Genomic DNA, 26,426 nt, shown 5'->3' on the forward strand with positions numbered 1-26,426 from the left:
ATTTTTTGAATTTTTTTTCAAAAATCAGCAAGCACAAATATGTACCTAGCATTTTCCAAGGATATGGGTATGGAAAGATAAAATGCCAGAACTTACAATTTAATTAGATATTAGTGCAAATGATCGATACACTGCAATGTGGTAACTGTGTAACAGATATTAATTGCACCATCCAAAATTCAGTATGTTAAAAATGGAACTCTTCAGGTTATCATAGGAATGTTGCTTGACTCTTATGCCCAGGGCAGACTGTGAAGCATCCATTCCCCTAAATCCAGGGCAGTCAGGTAAGGGGCCTTCTTATCTCAGCCACTTCTCCACTTCCAGCCCAGACTCTTGCTGTATTAACCTCTGTTTCTCCGACACAGCAGACCCGGAGACTTTTTAACCTCCTTTTTTTGTGACTCCTCCCCACTCTACCACAAGTAGGGTTGCAAGATTTAGAAAATGAATATTTAAGACACTCAGTTAAATTTGGATTTTAGATAAATGACAAATACTGTTAATTAGTATAAGTATGTCCCAAATATTGCATTGCATTTTATTGTATTTTTTTTTGTAGCAGCCGTACCCTCAAGAAGTGCACCTTCCAACCACCCTTATATGAGCCTGCTCCAAAACCTTGCCAGCCAGCACTTCCAGGTTACGACTATTGACCTCCAGCTCCCAGTTTCAGGTGAGAGGTGAGACCCAGTCCCACACTAGCATGTCATCTTCGTGGAATCCCAAAAGAGACAATATATAGAGGACAGGATTTTTTTTTTTTTTTTTTTTTTTTTTTGAGACGGAGTCTTGCTCTATCGCCCAGGCTGTACTGCAGTGGCGCGATTCTTGGCTCACTGCAAGCTCCACCTCCTGGGTTCACGCCATTCTCCTGCCTCAGTCTCCTGAGTAGCTGGGACTACAGGCGCCCGCCACCACACCCCGCTGATTTTTTGTATTTTTGGTAGAGACGGGGTTTCACCGTGTTAGCCAGGATGGTCTCTATCTCCTGACCTTGTGATCCGCCCGCCTCGGCCTCCCAAAGTGCTAGGATTACAGGTGTGAACACCGAGCCCGACCAAGGTACGGCCTTTTTAAAGCCCCCTCCCCTGCTTCACACCCAGCAATGCGCCTGCTTTAAGGGTGTCCTTGTTTTTGACAAACTCACAATCTCCGCCTCCACAGGTTTCGGGCGCCCCTGGTGGTTGCACTTTGCCAGTAGCTTATGGCAACCCACCAGGTTTGCTGATGCTGGACTGGCATTTACCTGTCAAAGTAATTTAAACCATAAGATTTATTTCCAAATAGGGGGGGAAACAGATAAAATGGGAGAAGGGCATGGTTGTGGGTTTGGACTAATCAGAACAAGATTCTAAATTTTTATAAAGAGAGGAGATGGTACTGCAGGAAAGCCCTGTGAGTCTCCCCTGCAAAATACCCACCTAGACCTGTTTTTGTTGGTGGTTGTGTGTATGCCTTCTGAAACAGTGTGTCTCCACAGCCAAACATGTGCTGGGATGCAGGAGATGCTTAGGCCACCTTGATCAGTGATGTCTGAGGCTTCCCCAGGCTGGTTAATTCACAGCCTCCCTCCTTTATGCTCCCCCAGATTCTCTTTCATTTAGATTGTGTTGACTCAGCTCAGGGGATGAATATATGTATTTGCCAACATTATTGAGTTTGCTAATTAAAAAGCACTGAAAAAAAACTTACTTTCCCTCTGCGTTTGGTGACTTTTACCCCTAGAACTCTTCTTCTTAGGAAGCCTATGACAATGAAGATACTATAAAAACAAGGGTCTTTCCAATTCCCTTCTGCTGTGTCGTGGAGCGAACACTCAACCTGGAGTCTAACGTTCTTAATTTCTGTCCCAGATCTTTACTGGCTGGGTCTCTGCACACTTCTCAGTCTCCTAGAGTCTTCAGGTTACTCAATCAAAAAATGTTCTAAACTAGTTGTTATAAGAGTGCTGAACACATTGGCTGGTTCACTCACACAATAGATTTGCCTGACAACTGTTCACTAAACTGTATATCTTAGTGCAGTATGTGGATTTAACTGGTGGTGTTGCTGATGTGTCAAAATTTTGAGCACGTTCCAGCTTTTCATTGTTGTTATTTTCCATCTTCCATTACTTTGAAGGGAACATGTTACAGGACACAAAGAAATACTAAACTTGCAAAGCATATGAATAATAGCAAATGTGATTATTATTTATTTACTTATAAAAAGATGATAGATTACTTCATGTTCTGCTTAAAGCTACTTTTTGCATTTGGACCATTTTGAGTAGCCCATATTCTGCCAAAAATTATAATTATAAAATTAGTGAATCACGCAGAAAACATTGGAACTAAATTATTGACACGGCTTTGGAAAGGTGATATCCAATCTTATATGCAAATTCCAGTTGTCTTCCATTACTCTTGGGATCTTTCAGCAGATTTTTGCCATCTGTGTAGAAGCTGTTATTGAATTTTCTTGCTGAGATTATATAATTTCTATTCAGAGAATTAAATTCCCCATTACACTGTATTTTGTTTCTCTACAATATAAATGGAAAATTATGTAACAGGGAATTTATACATTTGTTTTGCACCTGTGGTATTTAAAATGTGGCAGGCATTTAGAGCTGTCATAAAGACCCAGGCCGAAAATGCTTTATTGCATATGATTATCCTTCTCTTACTACTTTTGAAAAGGAATGAAATACAGCCATTTTAATATTCATGTGTTCCATCCAAACAGAGGACTGAATAATAAAAGTGGATAACTTATATTTGCTTCCATTACAAATAGTTTTATCTTGCCATCTTCAGTCATTGTTTTCGGCTTGCATTGTGATACTATGAAGTGGATCAGAAAATATACTTCCTGAGTGCTACTTGTTAAACAAGTGTATGAAATGTGCTTGACCCTGCTCTGTGCAGTAGAGCATTTCAGACTAATCACAAACTACTGAGTGGAGTCAAAGCAGCAGCTCAGACTGCTTTCTCTGCAAAAACTGGAGATAAAGTGTTGGTTAGAATATAACGTTTAGCTTCTCATGTTGTAACTAATGGTAGGCCTGGTGGAGTGGTTAAAATATAATGAATCCAGTACCAATGGATTCCAGAAGTATTTGATACCCATCTAATATAACGCTGCTCAAAACATTTTGATGGGTCTCTAGGGTCTAATGAATAAACTTCCAACCTTAGTCTGGTCCTTGTTATCCGACTTATGCTGTTTCTTTCTTTCTTTTTTTTTTTTTTCAGAGAGTTCTCCCAGTCTCCTGGATCACACTGGTCTGAAAGCTGTTTGGTAGACAACCTTCGAGTCTTTCTGCCTTCATACTGTGGGTATACCGTTCTCCCAACTGAAAACCCGTTTATTTTCTTATCTGTCTACTCAAAGCCTAACCAACACCAAATGGCCTAGAAATGCCACGTACCTACCAGTTGCCTCTTTCCTCCTCCAGCCCTTGTGAATGTGAATTCACATCTCTGTTCTCTGTGTTCCTTGGCCACTTAGTACCATTCACAATATCTCTCATAGCTAGCTCTCTGCCTTAGGGCTGGCCCATGGGACTAAAATTCCTTGTGGTAGGTATTTTTTTTTCATATTTCTATTCTTATAGCATCTAGCATAGAACAAACAGCCTAGTATCTAGTGGGTATCCAATAACAACTTATGCAGGTGATTAGGCAAGAAAAAGAAATAAAGCCTATTCAAATTGGAAAGGTGGAAGTCAAATTGTCCCTATTTGCTGGCAACATAATCTTATATATAGAAGAACTTAAACACTCTGCCAAAAATCCATTAGATGTGATAAACAATTCAGTAAGGTTGTATTGTATGTATCAAAACATCCCTATGTAACCCATAGAGATGTATAATTATTTTATGTTGATCAAAAATAAAATAATAAAAGCTCTTAATAAAACAGTCATCTCTTTCAGAATTCATGGTTACCATTGCCTCTAGTATTATTTGTCAATTAAAAAATAAAATTTAAAAAGAATTTAAAGAGTTGAATGCAGTTTAAAAATGCATGCAGGCCGGGTGCGGTGGCTCACGCCTGTAATCCCAGCACTTTGGGAGGCTGAGGTGGGCGGATCGCGAGGTCAGGAGATCGCGACCATCCTGGCTAACATGGTGAAACCCCATCTCAACTAAAAATACAAAAAAATTAGCCAGGCATGGTCACAGGCGCCTGTAGTCCCAGCTACTCGGGAGGCTGAGGCAGGAGAATGGCATGAACCTGGGGGGCAGAGCTTGCAGTGAGAGGAGATCGCGCCACTGCACTCCAGCCTGGGCGACAGAGCGAGACTCCGTCTCAAAAAAAAAAAAGCATGCAAGTAAGGAAGGATCGTGTGAGGGTAAGGGTGCAAGTGCAGCTTTAAAGATATTAGTAAGAGAAAAGAAGAGGGCGTATAGTGCATGCTGTGACATGGGATGACAGCTTGCACTGAGAGAGCATGGATCTATATTTTTACTATATTATACTCTGTAATTGAACATTTCAGCTTATTTGGATTGTATTAAGCCACTTTATTATTTGAATGCTCACAATTTCCTTCTAATTTCAAACTTGTTTGTGGACCTGTAAAAAAATTCTTTTTTTAAATGCATCTGTTTAATGACACAGGACACTTTTCATTTATGCATGGTACACTGGTAGCCCAATCTGAAAGTACTATTTTCTACACTAAACTTTTTTTTTTTTTGAGCCAGAATCTTGCTCTGTTGCCAAGCTGGAGTGCAGTGGCGCAATCTCGGCTCACTGCAACCTCCACCTCCTTGGGTTCAAGAGATTCTTCTGCCACAGCCTCCCGAGTAGCTGGGACTACACACCTGCGCCACCACACCCAGCTAATTTTTGTAATTTTAGTAGAGACAGGGTTTCACCATGTTGGCCAGGATGGTCTCAATCTCTTGACCTCGTGACCTGCCCGCCTCAGCCTCCCAAAGTGCTAGGATTACAGGCGTGAGCCACTGCGCCTGGCCTAAACTATTTTTAAAAAGAAGTAACAGCATGCCTCTACTTATGTAAAAGCAAACATATGTTTTGACGGTGGTGAAGTTGGCTTCTGTTAACCCAACTTCTAAAGAACTAAATTGGCCAAAAGAGGAAAAAAAATGCTTATTTTATTAAATTTAAATTTAGTAAATGCTTATTTACTACATTGACTTGAGGATTTCAGACAAATAGCTTAGTTAGTGGTTAGATCAAGAGGCTTTATAGAAGAAAAGCTTAATGGTGCTTATTTATAAAATGAAAAAATTAGTAGTTCTTGGCCCTGCCTCATCTGTTTCTCAAATTTGTTGGTTATGAAAGATCTGACTGAAATCCACACCATCTGGCTTTTAGTGCTGGGATCCCAGCACAGGCCAGTTTAGCCATCTGCTTCTGTCTCTGACGCCACATACAACAGAGAGTCTTTTGTCATTGTTGTTGTTGTTGTTGTTGTTGTTGTTGTTTTGAGATGAAGTCTTGCTCTGTCTCCCAGGCTGGAGTGCAGTGGCACGATCTCGGCTCACTGCAAGCTCTGCCTCCTGAGTTCACGCCATTCTCCTGCCTCAGCCTCCTGAGTAGCTGGGACTGCAGGCGCCCGCCACCACGCCCGGCTAATTTTTTGTATTTTTAGTAGACACGGGGTTTCACCGTGTTAGCCAGGATGGTCTCGATCTCCTGACCTCGTGATCTACCCGCCTCGGCCTCCCAAAGTGCTCGGATCGCACCCAGCCCAGAGCTGCATTTTCATACACCATTGAAATCAGTGAACCCTCACCGTGTGATGAGAATGCTGGATGAAATTTTATGCTGAGTGAGGGAACAATCTGTTGAAAATAAAGGTTAGAAATGTGTAGTGTCCTATCGTGTCAGTGCCACAAAAAAGATGGGGAGTCCTGCCACATGGTGGAATGGTGCCACATAAGTCAGAGCAGGAAGCGAGTGCAGAAGGACCCAAGTGACTGGAGAGATGATTGCAAATGCAACAGAAATTCTAGGGTTCATCGGATGCTGTGGCTATGCTTAAGAAACCAGCCACTCAGCTAAGAAAACAACAGTGAGAAATAACACCGTTACAGTGGATTTATTTCTCTGCTTAAATGACTGCCTTGCAGAAGAGCTGTGATCTTTTGATATTTTTTGGCAAACAGCATCAAAAACAAGATATATGGAATCAACCAACAGATCATGTATCACTGTGCTTGTACTGGTAAAACTCCGTGTACTTACTCCACGTCTACCGTAGTAGATTGAGAGATGGTCATCCAAAGATCTCAGATTCTAATCCCTGGGACTGGGAAGTGTTCCCTTGTTTGGCAAAAGAGTCTTTGTAGACGTGATTAAGTTAGGGATCTTGGCATGAGGGGACGAACCTTCTTTATTCAGGTGGCCTTGAATTATGATCACAAGTGTCCTTATAAAAGAGAGGCAAAGGGAGAAAGCACAGAAAGGAGAGGAGGAACTTAAGTGCCCATGGAGGCAGAGACCGCAGTAATGCAGCCACAAGTTAGGGACGCCAACAGAAGATGGGAGGGGCAAAGAACCAGTCCACCCCCGTAGACTCCAGGAAAAGTGTGGTCTTGCCAACACATTGATTTTGGAATTCTGGCCTCTAGAACTATGAAAGTATAAATTTCTGTTATTTTAAGCAGCCCAGCTGTGATACTTTGTTAAGCAGCCACAGGGACTAATACCCCTACTATGTGCCACTCACTGTGCCAGTCCTGGGGAAGATTTAGGCTGGAAAAGCATGGCCTTTGCAGCATTTTTCCCCCACCAGTGCTGAGACAATATGTTGAAAAGACTGGGAAAATGTTATAATGTATTCAAAATACCAGATGAGAGCTTTCTGTGTACCTGTCACTATGCTCAGCTCCAGAGATGGGATATGAACAAAATAGGCCCAATTCTCTTCCCTCTGTGCCGAACTTACTTTCTGTTAAGTACAAAATAGGGCTTAATGCTATGAAAATGAAGAGGAGTGACAACATTGATGTCAACCAGGAGGATCAGGGCAGATTTTAAATATGATGTGGCTGCAGCAAGAGTGTGTGCGCATGGGAACAGGCATTCCAAACGAAGGAATCACTGCTAATACAGCTGCAAAGTCTGCAGTGCCTTTGGGAAGCCTTGACAAGATGAACGTGTCAGAGAGCAGGCATTCAGTCTTTAACACAGCCTTTCCACATCGGCCTATAAAATTGTATTATGATGTTTCTTCATTTGGAAAACTAGTTTTAAAGGTTGCATTTTGATGAGTTTGCAACATTCAATTTCATGGAATCCAAATCGCATGCCCTTTGGAAGAGGTGCCATATGTGAATGCACCCATAAAGTGCACGCATGCAGCGTTTGTTACGTGGTAGGATCTCATGCAATTTTAAATGACTCTCATGTTAAAAAATGCTTCTATTGGCAGGGGGTGGTGGCTTACACCTGTAATCCAAGCACTTTGGGAGGCCAAGGCAGGTGGATCACCTGAGGTCAGGAGTTTGAGACCAGCCTGGCCAACATGGTGAAACCCCGTCTCTACCAAAAATACAAAAATTAGCTGGGCATGGTGGTGGGCACCTGTAATCCCAGCTATTTGGGAGGCTGAGGCAAGAGAATGTCTTGAACCCAGTAGTTGGAGGTTGCAGTGAGCCAACTTCGTGCCATTGTACTCCAGCCTGAGCAACAAGAGCAAAACTCCATCTCAAAGAAAAAAAAATGCTTCTATCACTCTTAGCCTTGTTTTACTTCATACTCTGGTGGTGGGCAGGTTTGCTACCTTAAATACGTCCTAGAAGCTGAATCCAAATACTTTTTGAACAATTTTCTGACTTCCTTTAGAGAAATGTACTGTCAGAGTACTATGTATAATTTTTTAAATACAGCTACCCTGAAGACTTATAAAAGTCTGGTTGTTCAGGCAGTAATTTATTTACAAATTCATGAAAATGAAAACAGTTTATGCAAGCAACCAGCTCTGGGATGCCTCATCGTCCTTTGCAAAATTATCCAAATCATGATGAAATAGGCTTTATTTTTATGGATTAAACAGAGAAGAATGTCTAATGAATTGTCTAGAAATTGAAATACGCACCTTTTATGAATAGGGACATTTCATAAGACCATTCTGTATTGTGAGTTAGGAATTCAGATCAGTTGAAGCATTAAAAAAATCAAACCTTCTGCAGCTCATTAAAGCATAAACCTAATTTTTAGAATTTATCCGACTAATATAGTAAGACCTCCACCTGCTTAGAATAATATTAATACTTGGCCTCATTTACCTCCAAGAGGGGGATAGGCCCCTGACCAATCTTCCCATTTCACCGAGGACAGACACTTCCCTTGAATCAGGTGGAGGTTTTCCAGTCATATTTGCAACACTGTTTAATGCTCAATTGCCCTATTTCTTTCCTCTGTGAAGTGAATACAATAACTTAAATGAAGGTTGTTTGAAACTCCTACTATTGGGTAGGAGTTTGCAACCTGGTTACTATGATCAGAGCTATAATTTTTTTGTTTATTATAATTAGGTTTTTTGCAAGACTAAAATTGTGCTTCTTTTAAAGTGCTGAAGAATTTCCAGGCTTGTCAGCACTAATACGTATTCTAATTGCAAAAACAGACACGAATATCAACCCAGGTGCATAGACCTCATAGTGTCAATCAAATCTCATCAGAAACTACTTGTCTTGCAGGAGGAAGGGGATCCTAAAATCTTTTTTTTTTAAGGGAAATTTTTTATCAATTTGTATTCTTTATGTCCTTTCATATTGCCGTTTACCATAAATGAAAACCATGAGAGGAACTTTTAATAATAATACACATCTGATTATGCTTTTATGAATATACAGAACATTAAATTTCAAAAGGCTTTGCTTGAGTCCCAAATGCAATTTCTAAAACATTAACTAGCCTACTCAGAATCAGGTAGAAATGGTGCAAATGAGCTCTTTTTATCACAGGCATTATTTCTTGAATAAACTCTTTTTTGTTTCCTAAACTTCAAAAAAACTGTAATTTTATTTTCAACATTCATGAAGGATAAGTCAAATCCTGTCAGTGAGTGAGTCCAACGGTTTCCATGAAAGGAGGATGTGGTCACTTTCATGAAGAAGCCAACTGAGGAAGGCTTTTTCTTGGTTCAATCATTTGATGTAATGATTCAGATGAAAGCACGTAAGTTAGCCTTTCTTTATACCTGCTTCATAAAGTTTGAGACTGCTAAATTACCAAGATAGGACAGTAACATAAGATTATCTTCTTCATAGCATACATCACTATTTAAAATTATTTTATATATTTACTTATCTGTTATTTTCTGTCTTGCCCACTAGGATATATTGTCCATGAGATCTTGTCCTGTGAAGTCTTTCCTGGCACATAGTAAGTGCTCAATAATTGTTGCATAAAGGTGAATAAACCAATAAATGAAAGAACTTTTGCACATATTTGTATGTTACTTGTAACACATTTTGTAATTTGTCTGTTAATACTGCCTTCTCCCTTTTCTCTGACATCTTTGCAAAGGAAGTTATCTAGGGCAAAATAAATTGCAATATAAACTGTCATTAATTTGCACTAAGTCCTGTAAAACCTGTTTGCTTTTTTGTGTTTGGTCCATCAGCCAGCAGATCTTTTTTTTAATTTTATTTTTTATTTTATTTTATTTTTTTTTTGAGACGGAGTCTCGCTCTGTCGCCCAGGCTGGAGTGCAGTGGCCGGATCTCGATCTCGGCTCACTGCAAGCTCCGCCTCCCGGGTTCACGCCATTCTCCTGCCTCAGCCTCCCAAGTAGCTGGGACTACAGGCGCCCGCCACTACGCCCGGCTAATTTTTTGTATTTTTAGTAGAGACGGGGTTTCACCGTTTTAGCCGGGATGGTCTCGATTTCCTGACCTCGTGATCCGCCCGCCTCGGCCTCCCAAAGTGCTGGGATTACAGGCGTGAGCCACCGCGCCCGGCCCAGCCAGCAGATCTTAATGAAGAGAGCTAATTGCAGAGTTTTCTAATAACGGGTTTTTACCGTATAGTCAGACTCAGCCCCTTTTCCATGTTACATTTTCTGCTGAATATCTACATTACTGCCTTTAATAGGCAGTGCAAAGCCTTAATGAGATGATTTATTTTGAAGTGAGTTTTAAAAATTCCTGGGTATTTAGACTCTGGCTTATTTTTTGCCACTTAATTGGTAGGAGTGAGTAGACAGGTATTGCTAATGGTACTTTAAATGACTATCAGGATCTGAAGGATGAATTGTATTAATTATTCAAATTGGAAATATTTCTTTGAGATTTTAAAAATCATATTGAAAGTCAATGGTAGATTGAATCAATACGCAAATTTACTTTACATATTTTTCAGTTCAAGTCTAATAAATAATGTCCAACTCTTTTGGCATTGTGTACATTTATAGAGACATGTCAATGTCTTCATGTCTTTTATTATTACTTATTAAAGTAAAGCTGATGGTGATATCAAAATGTCACCTATGTTTGTTTGTTTTTTTCTCTTGGTATACATTTGAAGCCTTTCTGGCCAACATCCCTCAATGTACCTATTTAACCTTCCAGGTATTGCTCAGTCAGTTACAAATATCTGGCCTTTCTTTTCAGGCTTTATATTCTAAAATACTTTTCTAGTGAGAAGCAAAAAAAAAAAAGAACAAAAAACCTCACTAATTCACTGTGGTATTTAGTTGGCATAGAACAAACAACCAAATTACCTGGCATGTGGCAGCTGGTTTATAAAAATGTAAAGTAGGTACTAGACATCATTTGAAAGTTTAGGCACATATAAATTTTGTCTTTAGATTATACAATATTTTTCCATAGGTATATGGTATATACTGAACTTATTCACATGATTTATTCCTTGCTATAATACTTTTCATCTAATTTGGCTAACTGGAGGAGGAGAGTGCCTACTGTGAATGCCTACTGTGTTCTGTGTTCTAGGCTAGAAACTTTGCATTCATTATTGAACACTCATATCAACTTTATGTGAAGGCAGCATTATTTACTGAAGAAATTAAGGCTCAGGGAATTTCAATTTCTCCATATTCCATACTGAGTAGTCAAGCTGGGATTGCTAGTCTGCTATTTGTCTGATTCTAAAGTCAGTGTTCTTTTTTAACACAGTCAATTGGAAAAACTCTCATTAACACAGAGATTTTTCTCTCCATCTTTTAAAGTTTTTACTCCACCACTGCTCACTATGAACTTATTATATTGGAGTGGATGCAAAATAAAGTGCCAGAAATGACTTGTAGAACATGGTCTCCTTGCTTTCCTCCTTATAATGAATAAGTGATGGGATTAAATGGATTCGGTACTTTTGGGCCCAGAGGAAGTATCTGGGAATTTGTTAAGAAATAAACAGAAAGTAGAGAGTGATGTCAGTAAAGTGATAGACTAGGAAGCCCCAGGCTTCATTCACTCACAGATAAACTGACTTGACAACAATAAGCCTTTATGAGAACTCCAGAAAGTAGTTAAGAAATCATTGCACCTCAGGCAAGCTCAAAGCCAAGAACAGCCACATTATAATGAGTAAGAAAGGTTATTTTATTTCAACCTTAGTAGCTCCTCCAAGCTGGCACAACACAGCAAAATTAGGAGAAAAAGGCCAGCTCATGCCTTTTCCTTTGAGAGGGAAAGAGAAGAGTAGAACATATGTTTAATGTTCTAGCTTTTCAGGGGGCTGCTCAGGGACTGGTTTCCCTCTCACCTGGCTTGAAGCAGTGATGAGGAACCAGTATAGTATGGATGTCTTGGGACTGCTGAGAAGAAAAGGTTGCTCAGCAGTTTGATGCGGCCCCAGAGAACCTTATCACCATGAAAGAGCTGGTACAGCTTGGAGTGACTGGGAGAAAATGCCCAGCTCATGACTACTCGTTTGGAAGAAAAAGAGAAGAGTGGAACATGCATCCAGCAATTCAGTGTATTTTTTTTTTTTTTTTTTTTTTTTTTTTTGGTCAGGGGGCTGCCCTACAAACAGAGTTCTGTCTTACCTGACTTGGAGCATTGACAGAACCTGCATGCTTTGGATGCCTATGGTCACAGAAAACAATAGGGTATTCAGCAGCTTGCATATTACATCAGAGAATTTCTAGTACTGCAGACAGACATCAGTGTCAGCAAGAGATTAGAAGCTCCTGAAAAAGAAACTGCAAATCTCTCTAACTGGGAAATCAGATACATAAGCTCAGAAAAGATGTATCCCCAGAAAAGATTTTGGAGGACCCCAGAATCTCTAACCAGGCCGATTGGTGAAGCTCTTCCCTTGTATGAAGGCAGTTTATGAAGATTGGAAGAGGTGGCTGTATATTTAAATGCACACATCACAGCAAAAAATAACAAGACACATGGAAAAACATAGAAACATGACTCAATCAAAGGAATAAAATAAACTTCCAGAAAAAATAATCCTAAAAATGGATATCTGTGAATTACTTGACAAAGAATTCAAAATAATCACCTTAAAGAAGCTCAATGCATTACAAGAGAACACAGAAATATAACTAAACAAAGAGGAAGGCTGGGCACGGTGGCTTACACCTGTAATCCCATCACTTTGGGAGACTGAAGTGGGTGGATCACCTGAGGTCAGGAGTTTGAGATCAGCCTGACCAACATGATGAAACCCCGTCTCTACTAAAAATACAAAAATTAGCTGGGCGTGGTGGCAGGTGCCTGTAGTCCTCGCTACTCAAGAGACTGAGGCAGGGAAATAGCTTGAACTCAGGAGGTGGAGGTTGGAGGTTGCAGTGAGCCAAGATCACGCCATTACATTCCAGCCTAGGCAACAAGAGCAAAACTCCATCTAAAAAAAAAAAAAAACAAAAAAACAAAAAAACAGCCAGGCATGGTGGCTCACACGTGTAATCCCAGAACTTTGGGAGGCCGAGGCAGGTGGATCATGAGGTCAGGAGATCGGGACCATCCTGGCTAACATGGTGAAACCCTGTCTCTACTAAAAAATACAAAAAATTAGCTGGACATGGTGGCAGGCACCTGTAGTCCCAGCTACTCAGGAGGCTGAGGCAGGAGAATGGCGTGAACTCGGGAGGCGGAGTTTTCAGTGAGCCAAGATCATGCCACTGCATTCCAGCCTGGGCGACAGAGCCAGACTCCATCTCAAAATAACAAAAAACAAACAAACAAAAAGAACAAATGGAAAACAATGCACAAACTAATGTAGAATATCAACAGAGACAGAAACCAGAATAAAGGCCAAACAGAAGTTATGGAGCTGAATAATGCAATAACAGAATTGAAATATTCACTATAAGCATTTAACAGCAGATGTGATCAATCAGAAGAAGGAATCAGTGAACTCAAAGAAAGGTCATTTGAAGTTATTGAATTAGAGGATCAAATAGAAAAGAGAATGATGGAAAATAAAGAAAGTCTGTGGGATTTATGTGGTACCACTGAGTGGACCAATACAGGCATTATGAGAGTTCCAGAAGGAGAAGGGAGCAAGAAAGGGAAGAGAGTTTATTTGAAGAAATAATGGCTTAAAACCACTCAACTGAGAAAGAAAATGGATATCCAAATTCAGGAATCACAAAAGACTCCAATTAAGTTGAACTCAGAGTCTCACACCAAGACACACAATAACCAACTGGTCAAAAGCAAAAGTCAAAGAGAGATTCTTGAAAACATCAAGAGAAAACAGACTCATCATGTACAAGGGAGTTTCCATAAGATTATCAGTGGATTTCTCACCAGAAACATTACAGGTCAGAAGGGAGTGGGATGATATATTCAAAGTATTGAAAGAAAAAAAAATCTTGCCTAGCAAAAATACTACATCTTGTAAAACTATCCTTCAAAAATAAACAGACCTTCCCAAATAAACAAAAGCTGAGGGACTTCATCACCACTAGATTAGGCTTAGAAGAATAGCTAAAGGGAGTTTCAAAATGAAATGAAAAGATTAGCTAGCAACATGAAATCATATGAAAATATAAAGCTCTTTGCTGAAGGTAAATATTTAAGCAAACACAGAATCCTCTAATACTATGATGGTGGTGCATAAATAATTTTTAATTCTAGTGTAGTTAAAAATATAAAAGCATGAAAATAACTAAACTATAAATCTATATACATTGATACATAAAGTTAAAAATGTAATTGATAGCACCAAGAACATAAAGTGTGTGTAGGGTAACATGTAAAGAAGTAAAGTTTTGTGTGTGATTGAAGTTAAGTTCATAATTATAAGTTCATGTAAGTTCATCAAGTTCACTATAAGATGTTTAATGTAATCTCTATGGTAACTACAAATAAAATATCTTAAAAAGATGTACAAAAATGAGATAGAAATACAAACATGTCACTGAAAAAAATCACAAGAGAAGACAGCAGGAGATTGTAAAATTTCTTTCCTATCAGTAATTACTTTAAATGTAATTGAATTAAACACTCCAATCAAAAGACACAGAATGGCTGAATGGATTGAAAAAGAAACAAGATCCAACCGTATGCTGTCTACAAAAGACTCACTTTAGCTCTAAGGACACACACAGAATGAATGTGAAAAAATGGAAATAGATATTCCATACAAATGGTAACCAAAAGAGAGCAGAGGTTGTGATGCTTATATCAGATGAAATAGACTATAATTCTAAAACTTTTCACAAGGGACAAGGAAAAACAATACATGACAACAGGATCAATAAAATAAGATACAATTATAAATATTCACCTAACATCAGAACACAGACATATATGAAGCAAACAATGGTAGAATTGAATAGACAGGAACACAATAATATTAGAAGATTTCAATACCTTATTTTCGATAATGAATATATCAACCAGACAGAGGATTAATATGAACACAGAGGACTTGAACAACACTATAGACCAATTAGACCTAACAGACACCTGCGGAACACTCCACACAACAGCAGACCATACATTCTTCTCAAGTGCACATAGAACATATTCCATGTCCATGGAACAAATTTAAGGATATTGAAATCAGACCAAGCAAGTATCTTTTCTGACAACAATGGAATGGAATGAAACTAGAAATAAACAGCAGAAGGAAAATCGAAAAATTCAAAATTAGGTGGAAATTAAACAACACACTCTTTTTTTTTGAGACAAAGTCTCGCTCTGTCACCCAGGCTGGAGTGCAGTGGCGCAATCTCGGCTCACTGCAAGCTCCGCCTCCCGGATTCACGCCATTCTCCTGCCTCAGCCTCCCGAGTTGCTGGGACTACAGGCGCCTGCCACCACGTCCCACTAATTTTTTGTATTTTCAGTAGAGACGGGATTTCACCATGTTAGCCAGGATGGTCTCGATCTCCTGACCTCATGATCCACCCGCCTCAGCCTCCCAAAGTGCTGGGATTACAGGTGTGAGCTACCGCGCCCAGCCAAACAACACACTCTTAAACAACTGAAGTCAAAGGAGAAGTCACAAGGGAAATTATAAAATTATCCTGAGGATAATGAAAATAAATGCACAACATATCAAAACTTATGGGATGCAACAAAAGCAGTACTAAGAGGAAAGTTTATAACGACAGATGCTTACATTAAAGAAGAAAGATCTCCAGTTAACAACCTAGCTTTACACCTCAAGGACCTATAAAAAAGAAAAAAATTGGCCAGGCACTGTGGCTCATGCCTGTAATCCCAGCACTTTGGGAGGCCGAGGTGGGTGGATCACAAGGTCAAGAGATCGAGACCACCCTGGCTAACACGATGAAACTCCATCTCTACTAAAAATACAAAAAAATTAGCCAGGCGTGGTGGCGGGTGCCTGTAGTCCCAGCTACTCAGGAGGCTGAGGCAGGAGAATGACTTGAACCCGGCAGGCAGACCTTGTAGTGAGCCGAGATTGTGCCACTGCACTCCAGCCTGGGCGACAGAGTGAGACTCTGTCTCCAAAAAAAAAGAAAAAGAAAAAAAGAAAATCTAAAGCTAGCAGAAGAATGAACATAATAAAAATTAGGGCAGAACTAAATAAAATATAAAATAGAGAACGGAAAAATAATAGAAAAAAACTTTTAAATGCGTTTTTTTAAAAATCCACAAAATTGACAAACCCTTAGCTAGACTAAGAAAAAAGAGAGAAAACACAAATAACAAAGATCAGAAATGAAAGGGAAAACATTACAACTGATACTACAGAAATAAAAAGAATCATAAGAAATTACTATGAACACTTGGGCTGGGTGCGGTAGCTCACTCCTGTAATCCCAGCATTTTGGGAGGCTGAGGCAGGAGGATCACGAGGTCAGGAGATCAAGACCATCCTGGCTAACACAGTGAAACCTCGTCTCTACTAAAAATACAAAAAATTAGCCAGGAGTCGTGGCGGGCGCCTGTAGTCCCAGCTACTCGGCAGGCTGAGGCAGGAGAATGGCGTGCACCCGGGAGGCAGAGCTTGCAGTGAGCCGAGATCGCACCACTGCAGTCCAGCCTGGGTGACAGAGCGAGACTCCTTCTCAAAAAAAAGAAAAAGGAAAAAGAAATTACTATGAACACTTATGGGCAAAAAATTGAATAATATATAAGAAATGGAAAATTTCTAGAAGAATACAGCCTGTCAAGACTGACAATCTGACCAGACCTGTAACAAATAAGGAGAATGAAGCAGTATTCAAAAATCTTTCAATAAAGAAAATACCAGGGCCTGATAGCTTCACTGGAGAATTTTACCAAATATTTAAAGAATTTTTAATCTTTCTCAAATTCTTCCAAAAAGTTGAAAGGAAAGGAATATTTCTGATTCGTTTTATGAGGCCAACATTATCCTGATATCAAAATCAGAGAAAGATACAAGGAAAGAAAACTACAAGCCAATATCTCTGATGAGTATTAATGGAAAAATACTTAAAAAAATACTAGCAAGCCAAATTCAACTATATGTTAAAAGGATAATATGTGATGGCCAAATGGGATTTATTTCTGGAATGCAAGGATAATTTGCATATGAAAATCAATTAATGTAAGATATCACATTAACAACATTAAGGACAAAAAATATATGATCATCTCAATTGGTACAGAAAAAGAATTTAACATAATTAAACACACTTGCATCATAAAACACTCAACAAACTAGAAAGAGAAAGAAATTATTTTAACATAGTAAAGGCCATATATGACAAGCCTACAGCTAATATTATATTCAGTAGTGAAAAACTGAATTCTTTCCCTTCTAAGATCAGGAGCCAGGCAAGAATGCCCACTGTTTAAAAAATTTTATAGATTTTTATTTTTTAAAAAGATTATTTATTTTTCAATTGACAAAAATTATATATATTCATGGTGTACAACACAATGTTTTGAAAAATATACTGATTGTGGAATGGCTAAATCAAACTAATTAACATGTGCATTACCTCAAAAACTTATTTTTGGTGATGAGAACACTTAAAATTTACTTTCTTAGCAATTTTCAAGTATACAATACATTGTTATTAACTATACTCACCATGTTGTACAATATATCTCCTGTTTAACTGAAAAAAAAATGGGATAACATCAAAATAAAATGCTTCTGCACAGTGAAAGAAACAATCAGAGAGAGAAGAGGCACCCTATAGAATGGGAGAAAATATTTGCAAACCATGAAGATAAGAGGTTAATAAACAGAGTATATAAAAAGCACACAATTTAATAGCCAGAAAACAAATAACCCAATTAAAAAATAGGAGCAAAGGACGGGCCGGGCGTGGCGGCTCACGTCTGTAATCCCAGAACTTTGGGAGGCCGAGGAGGGCGGATCCCGATGTCAGGAGATTGAGACCATCTGGCTAACACGATGAAACCCCGTCTCTACTAAAAATACAAAAAATTAGCCAGGCATGGTGGCGGGCGCCTGTAGTCCCAGCTACTCAGGAGGCTGAGGCAGGAGAATGGCGTGAACCTGGGAGGCGGAGCTTGCAGTGAGCCAAGATTGCGCCACTGCACTCCAGCCTGGGCAACAGAGCAAGACTCCAAAAAAAAATCTCTCTCTCTATATATATAGATATATGTATATATCTATATCAATATCTATATCTATATATGTAGGAGCAAAGACCTAAACAGACATTTCTCAAAAAAAGACATATAAATGGCCTACAGGTATTTGAAAAAATCCTCAACATCACCCTAACCATTAATGAAATGCAAATTAAAACTACATTGAGATACCACCTCACATCAGTTAGAATGGCGATTATCAAAAAGATAAAAGGTAAGTGTTGGTGAGGATGCGGAAAAAAAGAATTCTGTTACATTGGTGAGAATTTTAGTACAGAAATTATGGAGACCAGTATGAAGAATTCTCAAAAAATTAAAAATAGAAATACCATATAATTCAGCAGTCCCACTTTTTGGTATATAGCCAAAGGAACTGAAATCAGGATCTCAAAAAGGTATGTGCACACCCATGTTCAGTGCAGCATGTTATTCACAATAGCCACGGTCTGGAATCAACCTAAGTGTCCATCATCAAATGACAGAATAAAGCAAATGTAACATATATACACAATGGGAATAGTAATTTAGTCTTGAAAAAAGAAGCAAATTCTGTCCAGTCAGGAAATCCTGTCATCTGGGATAATCTGGAGTACATTATACTAAGTGAAATAAGCCAGACACAGAAAGACAAACACCACATGATCTCACTTATATCTGGAACTTAAAAATGTCAAACTCATAGAGATAGAGAATAGAATGGTGGTTGCCAGGGATGGGGGCTGCAGGGATTGGGCAGATATTTGTCATATGATGCCCATTCTTGCCACTTCTATTCAACATAGTGTGGGAAGTCCTGTAAAGACCTAAATGTAAGACCCGAAAATACAAACCTTCTAAGAGAAAACACAGGGGAAAAACTTTATGGCATTGAACTTGGATATGATTTTATGGTAATTATACCAAAAGCACAGGCAACAAAAGCAAAAATAGACAAATTGGACCATATCAAACTTAAAAATGTTCTGCATGTCAAAGGAAACAATCAACATAGTGAAAAGGTAGCCTATGGAATGAGATAAAATGTTCGCAAACCATACATCTGTTAAGGGGTTAATAGCCAGAATATATAAAGAACTCCTACAATTCAACAACAAACAAAGAAGCAACCCAATTAAACAATGGGCAAAGAACTTGAATAAACATTTCTCAAAAAAGACATACAAAGAGCCAACAACCATATGAAAAGATGTTCAGCATTACTAACCATTCTGGAAGTGCAGGTGAATACTGCAATGAGATATCACCTCACACCTGTTAGGATGGCTACCATCAGGAAAATAGAAAATAACAACTATTGACAAGGTTGTGAAGAAATTGGAACCCTTTTGTACTGTTAACAGGAATGTAACATGGTGTGGTCACTATGGGAAGCAGTATGATGGAGAATTTTCATAACTTTCAGCAGTTCACTTCTGAGTATACATTTTAAAGAATTGAAAATATTATCTGAAAGAGGTATTTGCTCACCCATATTCATTGCAGCATTATTCCCAGTAGCCAAAAGGTGGAAGGAACCTAAATGCCCATTGATTAAGAAAATGTGGTATAAACATACAATGGAAAATTATTTAATCTTAAAAAAGAAAGAAATTCTTAAACACATGACAACATGAATGAACAAACCTTGAGGACAGACATTATGCTAAGTGAAATAAACCAGTCACAAAAAAGGCAAATACTGCATGATTCCACCTCTATGAGGTATCTAAATCAGTCAAACTTTTAGAAACAAAAAGTGGATCGGTGATTGCTGGGTGGAGAGGGAAAAGGGGGTTGTTTCGTAGGTACATAGTTTCAGTTTTACAAGAGATGAAAAGGTTCTGGAGAGTAACTGCACAACAACATACATTAGTAGTTAAGACTACTGTACTATACATTTAAAAATCATTAAGACGATAAACTTTGTCATGTGTTTTTCAATAAAAAAATAAACAGAAGGTTACAGCATCATCTGTAAACTACAAGATCATCAGCATATGTTATGTGTTGAATTTTGCCCTCCAAAGTGTTTGAAGTCCTAACCCTCATGATGTGTAAATATGACTTTCTTCGGAAATAGGATCTGTGCAGATGATCAAGTTAAGATGAGGTCATCAGAGTGATCTCTAATCCAATATGACTGTGTCCTCATAAGAAGGGGAAATCTGGGCCCAGAGACAGACATATATAGAGGGAATACAATGTGAAGAGATAGAGGAAAAACCATCTACAAGCCAAACAATGCCAAAGGCTGGGGGAGAGGCATGGAGTGGATTCTCCCTCAAAGCCTTCAGAAGGAACCAGCCCTCCGGCACTTTGAACTTCTGGTATCCAGCATTGTGAGGAAATACAGTTTTGTTATTAAGCCACCCATTTTGTGGTACTTTGTTAGTGAAGCCCCAGGAAACCAATACATCATGGGTTGGGGTTATCGGGCTTTAATAAATCACAGCCTCTTTCTTCAACGCCTGAGTTTGCAACCAAACAGCATAAGCCCAAACATGCTACAGACCACATCTTAGATAGAGGGTTAAACAACTACACATCTTCCCCTTTAACTCCATTGTTGAGCATTCCTCACTGGGTCTCTTCATAATACTTTTCTTGTAGAGTATATCTATACGACTTTTTACCAGTTTTTAAACAGGTATGAAACAAAGTTAAGCTTTTGCCTCAGGAACTGTGCTAATCTTACCCAAAGCTTTTAGAGCATTTTTAGAAATGAGAGTGTTTAAGGTAGATTGAATTACCATTTCTTTTGGTGGCAGTAGAAGCTTGCCATTTAATTGAGAAACTATATCTTAAATCACAAGTAAAGAAATTTGTGGCTTCCACTCTAGAGAAAAACTCCAGAGAAGAGCATAAATTATGAGCTAAAAGCTGGTATCGTTTAGAGAAGGCTCCAAAGATGTTTTATGGTAACACCAATCTGAGGAAGGAAGCTCTACTCTTGCCTGTGATAATTTACTTTTGTCTGATTTCATGAATCATCTCTTATGGAATGTGATTGGAAAATATATTTACATTACTATATTTGAAAAATGTGAGTCTACAAACTTAGTTCTCTCTAACCAGTTTCTTCATTGTTGCCAAAGACCCCGTGCAGAGCAATCACACAGAAAAAGGCTGTTTGGATTCACCAGTGCAGCCGCTGTGGAGGGGCCTTTCATTGGCACTGAAAATGCTTGTTTGGTGATGAATAACCTTTGTTATTATTATACTGCATGTTATTAAAATTTTTAACATAATTCCCTCTAAACTAATAGTAATTCAGACAATGCAGCCACTGGCAGACAGCTTCATTAGTCAATCTTCTTTCTTATAAATGGGAGAATTAAGAACTGCTATTACTGTCATTCTGTCTGCTGCTCATTATTGTTGTAGACTTATGCACGAGACTAATCATATTCTCGTTGAATGCATCATGCTTAGCTCTTGAACGTGTGTGACAGTGACAAGAGCCCACCGAGTGACAGGGCAGGGTTGGTGGAATTCTGTGTCTCCATATGCACATGCATGTGCGTTCCTTCTTACACTCAGGCACACATAGGCTATTTTCCAGGGTTTTATTTTATTAATTCCTTAGGAATCTCAGAAAGTGAACTTCAGAGGCTGGGCACGGTGGCTCATGCCTGTAATCCCAGTACTTGGGAGGCCGAGGTGGGCAGATGGCCTGAAGTCAGGTGTTTGAGACCAGTCTGGCCAACATGGTGAAACCCCATCTCTACTAAAAATACAAAAAAAAAAATTAGCCAGCCATCGTGGTGGGTGCCTGTAATCCCAGCTACTCAGGAAGTTGAGGCAGGAGAATTGCTTGAACCAGGGAGGTGGAGGTTGCAGTGAGCCAAGATCGCACCACTGCACTCAAAAAAAAAAAAAAAATGAACTTGAGAAAGCAAGATGGTACCCTCTGAGGCTTTCCCCATACAGTGTACATGTGTCCTCTCCAAGGAAAAATACTCCAAGGACAAAAACAATACAATAGGATTGTTTTTTTGTGAGTATAAACATCTGATTTCTCTGTAGAGAGAGAAACAAAACATTTAGAAATCATCAAAATGTTTTGAGGCCTCTAAGGTACTTTCTGTGACTTCACAAAGACTATTATTGAATTCACTTTAAACAAAGCATTAAAAAATAATAATGTTTGCTCTTTCTCCAAAGGGAGACAAAGATAATTTTTATGGAGGAACCCTTTTCCCCATTGGATTACTAGACTATATCCTCAGTAAAAAAATGAAAAGTGTCCCCACCTGGTTGATGGTTAAACAAATGAAGATTAAGAGAGAACTAAAATGTCTAGAAGCATTTAACACTGTGAAATTCTATGATAGATGCTTGGATATTTGGAGAATGGAAACATTATATAAAATATGTGTATAGGTTGGGCGTGGTGGCTTACACCTGTAATCCCAGCACTTTGAGAGGCTGAGGCAGGAGGATCACTTGAACCCAGGAGTTTGAGACCAGCCTGGGCAGCATAGCAAGACCCCCATATCCACAAAAACTAAAAAAAAAAAAAAAAATAACTGGATGTGGTTGTGCATGCCTGTAGTTCCAGCTCTGTGGGAGGCTGAGGTGGGAGGATCACTTGAGCCTGGAAGGTTGAGGTTGCTGTAAGCAGTGATCACACTACTGTACTTCAGGCTGGGGGACAGTGTGAGACCCTGTCTCGAACAAAAAAAAAAGTTTGCTCAAGAAATATTCAGCAGCCCTCTGTTTCCCAAAGGGAAGAAACTCCTTAGAGCTGTGTTTACTGAGTGTGGTACATGGTACACTTCTCTTAGGATACAGATTTCTGGCTTGTCCCGGAAAACCAGAGTGTGGTGACTGTGGGAGGGCCCCAGGTCATTCTTATGTGCCAACATCTGAAAGCCACCATCTCAGAGACCAAGTCGTCCACTATGTGGCCCCAAGTCATCTTTCCAATTTATCTGAAAGTCTTGCCACAGGGGTCCTCAACTTTGGTGTATATCACAATTACATGGCCTCCACCTCCAGAGATTTGAACTCAGTAATTCTTGGGTAAATCCATGAAATGTGGGTTTTGATTAAATTAAATGATGGATCTGTAGATAATTCTGTTGTACACAGAGTTTGAGAATCACCCTGCTTGCCTAACAGTCAGCAGATATGAGTTCTGCACTCTGGCCTTGGCTCTGCCCCTTGCCTGCCTGGTCCTGGACATATCACTGAACTGCTCAGAGTTGTTCATTCTTTCCTGTATAAGAGCAGCATGGGTGCACCTGCACTGGCTACCTCACAAGTTAGATGATGTATGGAAAACCACTTAGTTAGATGCAGGATGTGATGTATTTTAGGGTGTCCAAGTCACTGAGTATTATCTACAAGTTAGGCACTGTCTTCAGTACCAGAAATGAAATAAGAAGCCTGCATTCGGGAAGTTTATTATGACTCTGAAGGCAGTCAGAAGGTTGCTATTCCCTGGTAATGTTAATCTATTCTTGGTCTTGTAGGTTACGCATGCTGTTGCTGACTGTTGACACATACCATCGGCTAAGAGCAGTGGCTGGCTTTGAAACAGCTCCACCTTCCCTGAATACTCTTTCAGCGTCTCTGACGTCTAGGCCAAGTTTGTGTACTTAGCTCCATGACAGCATCAAGATACAAACAACAAGAACTGATGGATTTCAGTACATCTTCTGGGGCTCCTGCCTGTGGGATACAGCTTGTCTTTGATGTCTTACCCTCTACATCCATGTCTCCTTCCTGTCTGTGCTGTGGACTTCAAACTCCAGCATCAGACATGAAGACAACATCCTGCAGAGATTGCTTTAAGCAGCTCCCACAGTTATAACAACATCATGGCCCTATAGCAAATATCATAAAAATTTTTCCACACCTATATTCACAAACATAAAATCTTTTATTGGTTCTGTTTCTCAGTTGAATCATGACTGATACAATATGAGAAGCAGTATATTATTATTTATAGGTAAGGTGTCATTAATTACAGATGCATGGGTCAGGCATAGTGGCTCATCCCTGTAATCCAAGCACTTTGAGATACCAAGGTAGGAGGATCCCTTGAGGCCAGGAATTTGAGACCAGCCTGGGTAACAAAGTGAGACTCTGTCTCTACGAAAAACAATTTTTTAAGGTGCATATTATAAACCTAGGGAACCACTAAAATATTTTTAAAAGAAGCATAAATGATAAAAAAACAAAAAATGGAGATTAAATGGAATCATTAAAAATAATTCAAAATCAGTTAGAAAAAGAACAAAGAACAAATATAACAAATAGAAACAAGATATGAGATAGTACATTAAAATCCAACTGTATCAGTAGCTGTATTTAATTTAAATGACCTAAACATACCAACTAAAACACAGAGATGATCAAATTAGATAAAAAAGCAAGAATCAACTATAATCTATCTATAATAAATTCACATTAAATATAAAAGTATACAGGTTAAAAGTAAAAGGATGAAAAATATACCATATATGCCATGCAAACAGTTGCTCTATTAGTATTAGATAACAGGAAATTCCAGAACAAAGAATATCTTCAGAAATAAAAAGCCACCACATATAGTGTAAAAGGGCCAATTCATCAAGAAGAAAAAGACTAAACGTGTATGCACCTAACAACAGAGCTTTAAAATGCATAAAGCAAAACTGATAGAACAGAAAGAAAAAATAGACAAACCTACACTTAGAGACTGCAGCATTCCTCTCTCAGTAATAGAACAGATGGACAGAAAATCAGTAAAATATGTAGACTAGAACTACATTGTTAAGCAACTTGACAAATTTGGTATTTATTGAATGCTCTATTCAGCAATAGCAGAATACACATTCTTTTCAAGGGCTCATGGGACATTTACCAAGATACTGGGACATAAAACAAACCTCAACAAATTTAAAAGGGTTGAAATCATATGAAGAATGTTCTGTTACTATAGTGGAATCAAACTGGAAATTAATAGCAGAAAGATGTCTGAAAAATCCTCCAAATATTTGGAAATGAAATGACTCACTTCTGTACAACCCATAGGCAAAAAAGAAAGTCACAAGGGAAATTAAAATATATTTTGAATGAAAATGAAACATCAAATACAAGAATTTGGGAGATGCAGGTAAAGCAGTGCATAGGGGGAAATTTATATCATTAAATGTTTATACTTGACAAGAAGAAAGTCCTCAAGTTAATGGTATAGTTTTACAGTAAAGACCTGGTGGGGGGCGGAGGGGGGGCGGGAAGGAACAAATAAAATACCATAGCAAAGAAAAAGGAATGCAATAATTAAGATCAGAAATGAATGACTTTGAAAAGAGCAACACAATAGAGAAAAATAAAATAAAAAAAACCGAGTTGATTCAGTGTGCCCCTATTACTTTCTAGTTAAACAAAAAGAAAACTTTTGTTTCAATAATTATACTTAAATGTTTATTGGATTTTTGGAGGGTGATTTTTTACGTACTTTAGGATGACAGATAAAAACACAAGCAGTGCCTAAGTAGGTTCATAATTTTAATTTCACTTACCTGTAATTTTACCAATGCTTACTTATCAATGTCTTTAAAGGTACAATTTTATGGAAAATTTTACCTACAGTCTGAACATATTTTCTGGTCTTTAAAATGAAGTTAGTATGCTGTATACCATCAGTATATAAACTTGAAACACTTATAGAACAAACATATCAGAGATCAATAAATCCTTTTGGGTCACTACAAACTACCCCATTGGCAGTGTATATTTATTTTGTCTGTTGAGTAACAAACAGGTAAGTTTTAGAGTTAACAAAAGATTAATAATACAAAACAGAGCTGTCTAGTAATAATCTTCAGAGCTAGAACACCCACATGTATTTATAAAGTCACATTTTTGGGGGATAACCGGAGGTAACCTCAGTGAAAAAAAGTTAATTCTGTTGTAAATTCAGTTCTGATAGTCCCACTTGATGACCTTTTGTCTTAAACAATTTCTAAGTTGGCTCATATCATAACTATGCCAAACCTCTTGAAAAGGCTCATTTTAAGGCTCTCTAACAGCATATTATTAACTGGCGAGTCTTCCAGAAGGCAGACATCCTAAGCTTAACATTAACTCTAGTCCAATGTTTTTGGTTGCCTGCGTATATTTTCTTTGGCGTTAAAAAAAAAAAAGTTGGCCTGGCGCAGTGGCTCACACCTGTAATCCCAACATTTTGGGAGGCTGACGGGGGCAGATCACTTAAGGTCAGGAATTCGAGACCAGCCTGGCCAATATGACAAAACCCCATCTCTATTAAAAATACAAAAATTAGTGGGGGGTGGTGACGTGGGCCTGTAATCCCAGCTACTCTGGAGGCTGAGGCAGAAGAATTGCTTGAACCCAGGAGGCAGAGGTTGCAGTAAGCTGAGATTACGCCACTGCACTCCAGCCTGGCGACAGAGCGAGACTCCGTCTTAAAAAAAAAAAAGTTTTCACTCGATACTCTTCTTCTAGAGCTGGCAATACATTGGCTCAGT

The 26,426-nt window shown here is 38.8% G+C and overlaps 1 long non-coding RNA gene across 1 annotated transcript; it reads left to right on the forward strand.

Moving 5' to 3' along the window:
* Positions 1–549: 549 nt before the first annotated feature.
* Positions 550–25,650, forward strand: LOC105376043 (uncharacterized). Its single transcript, NR_188596.1, has 4 exons — positions 550–676; positions 3,240–3,319; positions 9,307–9,355; positions 23,421–25,650. It is a non-coding gene; the product is annotated as an uncharacterized LOC105376043 (long non-coding RNA).
* Positions 25,651–26,426: the final 776 nt, after the last annotated feature.

The sequence above is a fragment of the Homo sapiens genome, chromosome 9 (assembly GCF_000001405.40).
Source record: "Homo sapiens chromosome 9, GRCh38.p14 Primary Assembly".
Lineage (NCBI taxonomy): Eukaryota > Metazoa > Chordata > Mammalia > Primates > Hominidae > Homo > Homo sapiens.